General features: G+C 46.4%; 1 protein-coding gene across 3 annotated transcripts in view; it reads right to left on the reverse strand.

Annotated features, from left to right (window-relative positions):
• Positions 1-12024, reverse strand: part of SLIT3 (slit guidance ligand 3) — a 639400-nt gene that overhangs the window by 212523 nt on the left and 414853 nt on the right. For all 3 annotated transcript variants that reach the window (NM_003062.4, NM_001271946.2, XM_017009779.1), the window contains exon 5: positions 9003-9074. In NM_003062.4, the coding sequence (NP_003053.2) occupies positions 9003-9074 (72 nt within the window). The remainder of the gene's footprint in view (positions 1-9002; positions 9075-12024) is intronic.

Here is a 12024-nt window from a genome sequence, read left to right on the forward strand (position 1 = left end):
AGTGCTTCTCTGGGCTCCTTCTTGTTGCCTTGACTTTATTCTTCTTTGCTAGGATATCATCATGCCCCTTCATTCATTCATTCATTCAGGGTTTCAGCTGTTCCCTAAAAACGGGAGTCTCTTTGTTCTGCAAGTCATTTATTCCTTCGCTTATTGTTTATTGAGCATTACATACTAGGCATAGGACTAACTCTTAAAAACAGAACAATGAAAAAGGCAGACTCAACCTCTCCTTTTACGTAACTTACAGGCTATAGGAGGAGGAGGACAGCTGAGTAGACAGTTATAACGCAGGGAGGGGTGTTTTAGGAAATATGCAAAGTCTGCCAGAAGACCTGTGGTACTGTCTATGAAACTGTGTCATCTTGGCCTAGAAGAAATTCTACTTGTCACCAATGCAACTTCCAATCCCAGGCAGAAATTCTGGGATGGGGCATTTACCACCACTCTCTCCTTGCTTTTAGATAATACTGTATATGTCTTTATCAGACTAATGGAGTCAAATCTACCTGTTTCTTCTACTATTTTTCTCATTTCAGGAAATTTAACTAATCAGCTGGTATTTATCGAGCACTTATGCCATTGGCCCCGGGGCAAATAGAGAAGAGTGCCCTGGGGCGTGCTTATCCTGTGATATATGCTTGCTGTGCATGTCTCCCCCTGTAGACAAAAATTCACTAGAGCAGGACCGTGTCTTAGTCATCTTTCTTAAGATTTGCTTCAGGTCTGACAAGAGTAAGGGCTCAGTGGTAATTTGTGTAACAATGAATGGAATAAAAAGGAAGAGTGGAAGAAAGGAAGGAAAGAAGGGAGGAAGAGGGGGAGGAAAGAAGGGAGGAAGCGGGGGAGAAAAGGAGGGAGGGAGAAAGAATGAGAGGGAGGAAGGAGGGAAGAGAGGGAAAGAGGAAAGAAGGGAGGAAGACAGAGGGGGAAGAGAGAAAGGGGGGAAGAGGGAAGAGAGAAGAAGGAAGGGAGGGAGGAAGAGAGAGGGAAGAAGAGAGTGAGAAGGGAAGAAAACAGGAAAGAAGGGAGGGAGAGAAAGAAAGAAGAAAGAGGAGGAAGGAGGGAGAAATGAAAGGAGGAAGGTGGCCGGGCATGGTGGCTCATGCCTGTAATCCCAGCACTTTGGGAGGCTAAGGCGGGTGGATCACCTGAGGTCAGGAGTCCGAGACTAGGCTGGTCAACATGGTGTAACACTGTCTCTACTAAAAATCCAAAAAAATTAGCCAGGTGTGGTGGCAGGCACCGGTAATCCCAGTTACTTGGGAGGCTGAAGTAGGAGAATCACTTGAACCCAGGAGGCGGAGGTTGCAGTGAGCCGAGATTGCGCCACTGCACCCCGGCCTGGGCAACAAGAGCAAAACTCCGCCTTAAAAAAAGAAGAAGAAGAAGAAGAAAGAGAAGGAGAAAGAGAAGAAAAAGAAAAAGAAATGAAAGGAGAAAGGGAGACAGGAAGAGAGGAAGGGAGGGAAACAGGAAGGAATGAGGGGGAAGGGAGGATAAGAGGGAGGAAAAAAAGGAAGAAAGGAAGGGAAAGAGAAGGGTGGAGGGAGGCAGGCAGGAAGGTAGACATGACCCCTGTCTTTAGATAGCATTTTTAGGTAGCACTCAGCAAACTGGGGCCCAGTGCAACTTCCTCTAGCAGCAATTCTGAACCTGACACTCTCAGTCAGGAATGCAAAGCAGGAAAGGCTGGGGAACTTGCTGCACTTCCCAGAGATGATAAATCTGCATGGCCTTGCCTCGGATGAGCAGATTTTCCTAAATCCCCCTTCAAGATGCAGCACCCCATTTGAGACGAGAGCCAGGCACTCTTCCTGCGTCAGAGCCGGCTTGCACTGAAGTACACCTCTGTCTCTGGTTGATAAGCCCTGGTAACAGGCACTCAGTTCCCCCACCCAGCTAGCCCCTGAGTCCCTGCAGTTTGACTCTGCCTTTTTAGATCCACTTTACTTGCTCGATTTAGGTCCCCCATATTTCTGAACAACTGCACAAGTCTCCTCTCTGCCCACACAGCTTCAGTCTCTGCCTCTCAGCAATCTACCCTCCCCACTGCTGCTGAAGCTGTTTTTCTTAAGTGAAAATCTGATCATGCCACTCCCCTATTAGGAACCCCCCAATAAACCCCCATTGCTCTATGGATCATGGGGTTCTAGGTCCTACCTTCCTGCACCTCCCCATCTCCCTAACCTCATTGCTCTTTATTGCCTCTCTTGCTAGCTATACTCCAGCCACAAATCTCTCACGAGCATCAACTCTTTCACACACCTCTGTCCCTTTACATATGTTGGTGAATTTTCACATGCTGTTCCTTCTTCCTGCAATACATTTCCCCTAGATGAACTCCTATGCATCCTTCAAGACCCAACTCATGTCATTTCCTGAGTGAAGCCAGAATGAGACCTGTCTCCCTGGGCTTCCACATATAGTTGTCCTTAGCTCCAACGAAGCCTTAATCCATGGCCTATGACTGCGGGTTTACTAATTGACTCCCTCACTAGTAAACTTAATTTTGTCATCTGGAAAATGGGAATATCATTAGACTGTGAGTTCTTCGGATACAAGAATGGCACCTTATTCTTTCCTATAGTATATTATTCTTACACAATAATAATACAATATGGTATATTATTATTTCTATAGTATATGGTATATATAATTTTCATATAAAGCATTTTAACAATGTGTATGATTTCTGGTATGTAACGGGCCATCGGCAAACACCTGTGAAATGAATGAACAAAGTCATTCTTTCAATACATTTCTAGTCCACTTTACTCCTGCCATGAACCATTTGGGTACTGGGGACAACACAGTGATTGAAACAGGCAGGATATCTGTGTACACAGGTTTGCTATGTGCATCCAGAGACAAGTAATAACAGGATAACATCCAGTAACAAGAAATAAATGAGATAATTTCAGAGGGTGATAAGTGCTCTGAAGAAATATGACTGGGTGATGGGATAGAGAGGGAAGGCAGTGGGGGACAGTAGGCAACATTTGAGCCGGGATGTGAAGGATCAGAAGGAGCTGGCTGTGTGGAGGTCTGAGGGTGTAGCATCTTATGTTAAGGGAGCAGCAAGTGCAAAGGTCCTGGGGCAGGAAGGAGCTTGGGGTGTTCAGGGAATGTAAAGGAGCATGGGAAGCATGAGATAAGTGAGAGCACCCAGTTCACGTACAGCCTTGCAGGACAAGACCAGGAGTGTGGACACTGCTCCAGGTGCAGTGACAAAACAAATGGCTGCTGAGATGAGCAGACAGAGATGCTACCAACGAACGGGTGCTGGTGTCCCTCCCCACACCTCCCTCACCCTCACATGAGATTACCACCTGCTCACCGGGGCGGAGACAGCCCTCATTAATCTCAGGAAGCAGGAGGGCAGACACGGGCGGTGCGGCAACACAGACTAACTAGAGAACACAAAGGCTGCCTGCCCAGCTTTGTTTTCAAAGCGTCAATTCCAAATTCTGCTAGCTGGCAGAGACAGGGGTTATTGATTTTCCCTTCTGGAATGCATGTCCTACACAGTCCTCGCAAATAGAAACTGAAAAACAGAGGAAAACATAACTGCTGAGAAAGACAGGGCAAGGGGACATTTAAAAAAAAACAATCCCTACTGGTTTTTGTCTTTTTCTTATTAGGCTTGGCTGGATTGTGGCCTGTCATCTCTCTTGTTTTCCCAATTCATTTCCTTTGGTTCTATCTCTACGTCTTTCCGTGATTTCTTTTTCTTTCCCTCCTCTCTCCTTTTCGCTGTGCCTTTGCCCAGTACCTAGCACAGTTTCTGCATACAGTAGGCATTTCATACTGGAGTGGTGAGTGTTGGTCTCTCTACAGGACAGTCTCTCTAAGGGTCTCTTTCTTCATCCAGATCACTTTGTCCATCGAACCGCCTGTCTCTCTTTAAATACAGCACCTTCCGCCCTTCTAGGCAAGTAGTGGAGAATGAGACCAGCCCATTAAACCAGCTTTCAGTAATTGCGTAGAGTGGCATCCCCAGATAATTACGTTCTCTCTCTTCTCTGGAGAAGCAGGAAGCAATTAGGGACTTCCTTCTGCTGTCTGGAGGGGCAGGCGTCCAGTCCCTTCACTGAGAGCATCATGCTTGTGGCTCCTCAGGTCCACAGGGCTCAGAGGCCGCCTGCGTCCTTTCTCTGGGCTCTGATAAAAGTTGCATGCTTGCCTACTTGCTTAGGTGAATAGGGACTCTGCTCTGTAGCAGCTTCTGGTCACTTTATTGTTCCTGTTTGCAGGCATGGCTGTGAGAAAAGGAACCCGGGTAGACAGAAGTGTCCATGGCGAAAGTCCAAAAGATGGTTGGGTGTGTTACTGATGGATGGTAGCTTAGTTGCAGAGGCCTAGGCCTAATTTTATCTGCTGACTTTTACCAACTTATACACATTGATGAAAACTTAATTTTATGTGGAAAATGTGGGTATCACAGTTTCTTCCTTTTTTTTTTTTTTTTAAGACTGAGTTTCACTCGTCTCCCAGGCGGGAGTGCAATGGTGCGATCTTGGCTCACCGCAACCTCTGCCTACTGGGTTCAAACAGTTCTCTTGCCTCAGTCTCCCGAGTAGCTGGGATTATAAGTGCCTGCCACCACACCCAGCTAATTTTTGTATTTTTAGTACAGATGGGGTTTCACCATGTTGGCCAGGCTGGTCTCGAATTCCTGACCTCAGGTGATCCACCCGCCTTGGCCTCCCAAAATGCTGGGATTACAGGCATGAGCCACCACACCTGGCCACAGCCTCTTCTTTCTTGAAGGGAAATGTCAGCGCAAGCAAAGAAAATATACGTCAAAACTACAAAATTATTTTTTAAACCAGATAGTTTTTTATTTTCTCCGTGTAGTAAAGCGTATGGTGTTACACATAGGCCCAACTGGTTGTCATTTTACATAGCATGCAGTTTGAAGCTGGATATGCCAGCAGTTTATCTTCTAGTCTTTAAGGTAATAGTGGAATGGTGTGAATTCCCTGAGCTCACACACTGTGGTGGAGCAGGCTTGGGGGCTGGGTAGTGGTTCTCAAACAAGCTGATGACAAGGATATGCATCTCTGAGATTTAAAATTTGCTATTTATCATTCACAAGGTAGACAATCTCCATAACTGAGGACTGGTAGGAGGAGGAGTGTTTCCTTAGCAGGTTTTATAGAAATTTAATTTGTGCTAAATGTCTCTTATTTTCCATGTGCCGATGCATATTTAAACATACAGCTTCATTATCACCTCTGTCCAGATGCTTCTCCTCCATGAAGCATCAGCTCCTCAGCTCAGGTCCTACAGTTCTAATTACTCACATGAGTTTTTCTCTTGGGCTGTAAGATTATTTAGTCTGACTCCCTCTTATTAAAACCAAGGAAGCTGAGGACCAGAGACATAGCGTGGCTTTAGCAAAGTCCTTCAACCAGCAGGAACTGGACAGGATGTCAGATCACAAACTTCCTCACACAGAGAAGATGCTCTGTCCACAATGCTGACAGAAGACTTGACATCACTTCACACCCAATGTGATTACAACCCAACTCAGGATCTTCCAAGCCTGGCTCCTCCTCCTGAACTTCCCATTTCTGTGAAGTGGAAGCTCCAAGAAGACAGAGCTCACAGATTTATATTGATATATCTTACTCCCTGCTGTTTCCCCCAGAACTAGCACTTAGAAGGCACTCAAAAAATAGTGTGAATGAATGATTATGAGAATTTGCCATCATTCTCTGTATTGTCTGAACTTGGAACTAATCGTTTTTCACTTCCTTTTCCATGGCCTCTAGCAACTCACTGACTGCGAAGCTCTGTTGATTTTGTCCCCAGGGACTGCTTACTTTGGCCTCTTTCTCCACTTCCTGCTTCTCTCTCCCAAGAGACAGCGTGAGAGAGAGATACGAGCCTAAACCCTCACATTGGACTACAGCCTCATCTCCTGCCCCGACCTTTCCTTCTGCCACCTCCTCCTGTCCCCGGTTCCCCTTCCAGAACAAATGTTTTCACCGTGATCTGTCCCAGGGCAAAAGCCATCCACATTCTCAGTGCCTACATCTAAAGCCCATGCTCCTCGCAGTCAAGGCTCTCCAGCAACCGGCTTCCACCTCTCTTTCTAACCCAATCACACACTCTTCTGCCCCAGATCCCTCCACTCCCATGAGATGTCTCTGCTGGAAACACATCTTATACAGTTTTGCCTTTACACTTTGCACGTACTATCTTTATTACTTTGTGAATTCTAACCACCATTCAGGCCCAGCTACAGTCTTCACTATTGTAACAAAGGAATACAGCAGCAACAGTAGTTAGAACTTTCTAAATACCTTTCATGCATCAAGCGTAGGACTAAGTTATTCATATGCATTATTTTATTAACCTCCACAAAAACCCTAGGAGGTAAGTCCAACTATTATCCTCATTTTATACAGTGGAAACATAGGCTTAGAAGTGTCAAGTAATGTACTTAACATCACAGACTAAGAACCTAGAACACATGGAATTCATACATACTTCTATCAGACCGCCAAAACCATGCTTCTAACCGCTAGGCTACATTGCCTAAAGCTGTCTGTTCCTTCTGAGCTCTGACAGCCCCTCATTACGTATAGCTACTTATTAGCCAACTTTCATGTTGATTGGTACTTTACTAAACATTTTCTTGTATGTACATGATTCTTGTCCCCAGTTACACTGTAAGCTACTGGAGAACATGAATTGTACCTCTGGGGCCTTTGGGTCCTGCCTGACAAGTGCCTGCTGACTGAACTGATTAGAGGTACACAGTATTCAATTCCCCTTAGGTGTTTTTGGTTAATTCATCCTTTAGGCAGTGAATTCACTCCCCTTTCCTTCTTCCCCGCAAGCCCAGCTGCTAGTAGTGAGTATAAACAAAGAGAAGATCCTCACTGAGTTTAGGATCCTGAGTAATACACATTTGCATGGCTTAGAGGGTGGTCTGATGGTGGGTGCTGGAGTGACTTAGGAGTCTGGGTTTGTAGAATCTTGAACCTTTCAAGTCCTGAGGCCTTTGCGTAGTTAGAGATATTGTAAGAGGGGAAAAGAGACCCTGTAAAACAAAATCTGAGAAACCCTAGCAACTATTAAGAACAATTGTGGGATTTATTCACTTTCTTAACAATCAAAAACATAGTCAGCAATTAACTGTCCAGCTCTGGTTATACATCACTACAATATGTTCTTTTTGGTTAATGGATCCATTTAAAATTAGTGTCATGAGATCTGACTGATATATCACTTTATATACGCAAAATGTTCTTTTGGGGTTCAACCACCAGAAAGCTGGTTGACCCTGAGTTAGTCACTGCCCCTCTCTGGGCCTCCATTTTCTCATACCCTGACGTTCTGGCAGGCTAATTAACATAGTTGTTTTTGGTTCATGTGAACAGTCTTGAGTTCTTGGAATGCATGGAACGAAATACTAGAAAAGCGCTCTGACATGTTAAAAGTGCCAGTTCAGGATGAGAGATCTCTCATTATTTATTTAGTGGTTTTGAAGGTTTGGCTTTTCTGTATCTCATTTTCTCAGGAAGATATAAACTCAGGAGGCTGTTTCTTGCGAGAAGCCTACACCTGTCCTGCAAAGGAGCTCCCATTCTTTGTGGGTGTGGCTGCTCCACCCCGCCCTCTCCTGCTCTTGGGAAAACACCCTCAGAAGCAGCAGCAGGCGGCCTCCTTGTCCCTGAGCCCCTTGCGAAGTCCTCTCTGCTTCTCTGTTCCCTCCACCCACCCCCAGAGACGCCTCTGCCCTCTTGCGTGCTTTGCATGTAAAACACCAAAAGCTTTCCGCTAAGTCCACAGGGGAGGCAGATAACCTGCATCTGGAAGCCATCACCAGCTGCCTTGAGTGTGCCAGTAAACTAAAACCCCTGCATTCATTACAGGGAAAAGTGACAATGTCTTTTTTTTAAGCCTCCCTTAAGACGTCTCAAATTGAATCTGGGGCTGCAGAGAAGGCTGCTGGGCAGAAGTGCTTGCTCAGCCAAATCAGACCTTCTTCCCTACCCCTCTCCAAAAGCATGTTCCGACCCCGTGGGCACAAAGGTTTAGGCAGAAAATTCAAGGCATAGTCCTTGTAGGGGCCCAGGAGTCACGAATAAGGGGTCAGTAGGAGAAGCCAGGTAGGAAATCGTCAAAGTTCAAAAATGTCACGCTGGAACAGTCCTGCGCTTGACTATGGTGACAGCTGCACAAATCTGCACGTGATGAAATCACACAGAACTACCTATGCCTGCGCTCACACAGGCGTATACAAGTGAGCACACGTGGAGCTGTGAAATCTGAAGACTAAGGTCTGTGGATTGTACCAATGCCAGTTTCCTAGTGTTGATACTGTACTGCGGTTATGTCAGATGCTACCATTGGAGGAAACTAGTATACGGACTTGTCTACTATTTTTTGAAACTTCCTGCGAATCAAAAATCATTTTAAAATAAAAAGTTTAAAAAAAAATCCTAGGCCAGTGGAAATGGATCTGGCTATGTCTCTCCAACTTCCTGGGATGTAAGTCCCCATGCTCTCTCAGGAGCCGATGATGAGCCTATTAATAAGAGTGAGAGCTTCAGCACCATCATCGTCAAGGTTCCAATTGATTGACCACGTACTATGTATGAGGCACTAAGATATTTCTTCCTTTTGAACACTTTCTCAGTTGCACAAAACATGCCCACAAGGTTACCATCCCCATTTTACAGAAGATGATAATGATGCTGGGCAAAGCTGGCTTGCACCAAGGCTCTGTAGGGCCAGGCTCTAACTCAGCAGGCACTGAGGCTCCAGTGCTCATATCTGGGGATGACTAACCAGCAAAGCACAGGTTTCTGTGACAGTATTGTGGCATCCAACGTGTGTTCCCTAGAAATCACTCAAGCACAGCCCTCAATTTCATCTCTGAAGGCACCTGGACCACCCTCTTGTCCCATCCCTCACCCTCACTCTGGTCAGAGAGCCCAAGTTAGCCACATACGTAGTGAAGCAAGGAAAACATCACTTACAGGTTCTTCACATCGGTGATGCCGCGGAACGCCTTCCTCGGGATCCCCTGGATCTGGTTTTCACTCAAATCTCTAAACAAGAAGAGAAGAGGCACACTGCATTAAAGACCCAGGCTGTCTTGATCTGCATCTCATTAAATGATAACAATCCCCCCCACCCAGGCTGCTGCCTCTGCGGTCAGAGTGTATGGCGGCTGTTTGGTCTCGGGCCCCAGGCTGCTACAAGCATTCACATTGTTCTTCAAGTGATGGCCGTTGCTGAAATGGTTACCAGGCGGAGCAGCTCGCCTCCAGGGCAGGCTCTGTGGGTGGTCTCGCACCTCCAGGCCACGAGCCAAGAGGCTGGGTTATTTGTTGCACACACTGCACCCAATTCTCTGTTTTCCCACCTCCCGGAGACAACCCCCTGCCCCCCATCCCCCCAACCCCCACACGGCATTCCTCCCCCACTGTGGGGTCAACGCCGCTCAATCTCCCATCTCTCAGTGCTGTCCTCTGCTGCTCAGGACAATCTGCCTTTGTCACAGGGGATTGGAACAGAGCCTGCCCATTCTGATTTTCTGATGGGGGATGACCACTTCAGCTTACTCGAGAGTCCCAGAGATTCCTGGGGGCCCCTAGACCTTCTTAGTGACAGGCACGATAATTTCAAATTGCATTTCCACAGGTCCATGCAAAGTGGGGGTCCCACAGGCACCTCATCTAGCATTAAGCAGTGCCAGCATGTTGCTTTGAGGAGGGTGAGGGATAGTGTCAGGTTCTACAGCTGGCTAAACCTATGTCCCCAGACTGTAAGCATTCCCAAAGCCTTACTTCCTTTCTAAGAAAGATATGGGCTGTTTTTTTTTTTTGGTTTGTTTCCCACATTTAGTTTTTGCTAGACCAAACATGTGCACTTGTTTTCACTAAGAACGCAGGCCTGCTTGGATCTCAACGAGTAATCAATCTGTAAAGACCGACCCATCAGGCCTCCAGAGCGTGCAAACTGGCCCTGCAAAACACTCATGCCAGGCCTCCTTCCAGGCTGTTCCCGCACAGCCACAGGCTGCAGAAGCCTCTCTGAGGACTATGGCGTGGTCGGGGGGTGCAGAGCCGGGGGCTAGGGACACAATGAGCTCTTTACACTTTCTTCAGATATAAAAGGTGTCTCTCTCTCTCTCTCTCACACACACACACACACAGTGCTATACATACACATTATTTTTTAAAAGAACACCCGAAAAACCCTCAAATATTAAGGTAAAAAAAAAACGTTGCAGATCTAACTACTGCTACCAATTACGAGATATATATATATATATATATATATATATATATGAAATTCCACCAATATGACCTCACAATATACAGTCTATTATAACCTATTATTTTTGCTTGCTATATTGAGAACATCTGTCCCTGTCATTAATAGTGCATTGATATCAACATTTTTAATGGTTGTATATCGTCCAATTGTATGAGTGGCTATATGGGTCCCAAATTGTTGGGTAGGCATTTATTTATTTGCTATTTAATGAAAACACTAGGGTGAACTTCTGTGCATGCACATTTTGGGGACACTTGTCTAACTATCTCCTTGGTACGGGGTCCTAGAAGGAGAACTTGCTGGTCACAGGTTAAATGGGTCCTGAGTTGACCTACGGACAGATTGTACCTGTGGACACTCCATGCTGATTTTCCAAGGGCACCTAATCAAAAGCTTTAGATGACTCCAGTTATATTTGGCAGGAGACATCAGACGACTGCCCTCCACTAAAATCTGGGCAGTCTAAATGAACATTTTGCAAAGGGGCAGGAGGGAAAAGAGGAAGCAGAAAAGAGGTGTCCACTTTTTTCTGATCTCCCATCTGCTGCTGGGACAAGCCATGTGCTCTGAGCAGCTAGCTAAAACGAAACTTGACGATCATCTGGGGCTACTTTTAGGCCCACAAAACAAGGCTGACTTGGGGTAGAGTGCCGGTGTGAGTACTAGTGGCTTCTGGGGCTGAGTAACAGGGTGCTCCCTATCTCAAATCCAGTTTCCTCTGTCTGCAACCGATGTAAGTAAATTCAGATGCACAATGAGCGCTGTCTCAGGCTCCCCCAGCCAGGCCTGATTCAATGAGCAGGGCTCCAGCCTGGAGTCGGGGCGCTGAACAAAGCCCACGATGACAGCAGAGGTCAGGCGGTGTCACCAAGGCCACTCAGCTGCTCTCCATCAGCCTCCGGAGCAGGGGCCCAGGTCCTGTCATCTGACTAATGCAATTTCCACCAGGCATCTGGGCAGCACCCGAGGCTCTGGCAGTCACAATGAGTCCAGTCTTTTCTGCCAAATGAAGCTGGTCTGTAGGCCACCGAGCCTTTGCCCACTACCCTCCCAGGATTGGCTGCTCTCTCTGGCGGCTCTGGAAGATGAGCCCCAGTCACACTTTTGGAAAATGGTTGATGATCAAAATCAGAGGCAGGGGGAGCAAACAGGAGAGAGGTTTAGAGCTGTCAGCTTGAACCATAGCTGGAAGCTGGATGAGGGGGCATGTGTTCCAGTAATGCACTAACCTTGTTTGAGTAGACAACATCCCATAATACACTGGGAGGAGTAGCAGTCGTACAAAGGTTCTGATTTGCAATACGGTGGGATGAGGAGAGGAGAGCGATATTTAAGCAGAAAAATCTGGCCATGTTGCTGGGAGACCTCCCACACAGGCAAAATCCTGCACTTGGGTGGGGCAGCGCTTTGGTTTCTGTTCACTATTTTCTTGCTGTAAATATAACCAGCCTTGCTCCTACTTTACGGAGCCAGTTGAAACACAGCTTTCTTCCCATCTCCCTGTCACTGCTTTCCTCCTGTCCCAATTGAGCAAAACAGTAGATTGTAGGGAATTTATCTGATCCCCATGACAATCTGCTTGTAAATTTTATTAATTTTATTTTCCATTGAGCTTCCCTTCTCCGGCTAACAATACTGCTGCCATCCATCTGCAGGACTGTATATTGATTTCATAAATACCTCCAGTGGGCTGACAAACTGACAGCTTCAATGGTG

This window comes from Homo sapiens, chromosome 5 (assembly GCF_000001405.40).
Source record: "Homo sapiens chromosome 5, GRCh38.p14 Primary Assembly".
Classification (NCBI taxonomy): domain Eukaryota; kingdom Metazoa; phylum Chordata; class Mammalia; order Primates; family Hominidae; genus Homo; species Homo sapiens.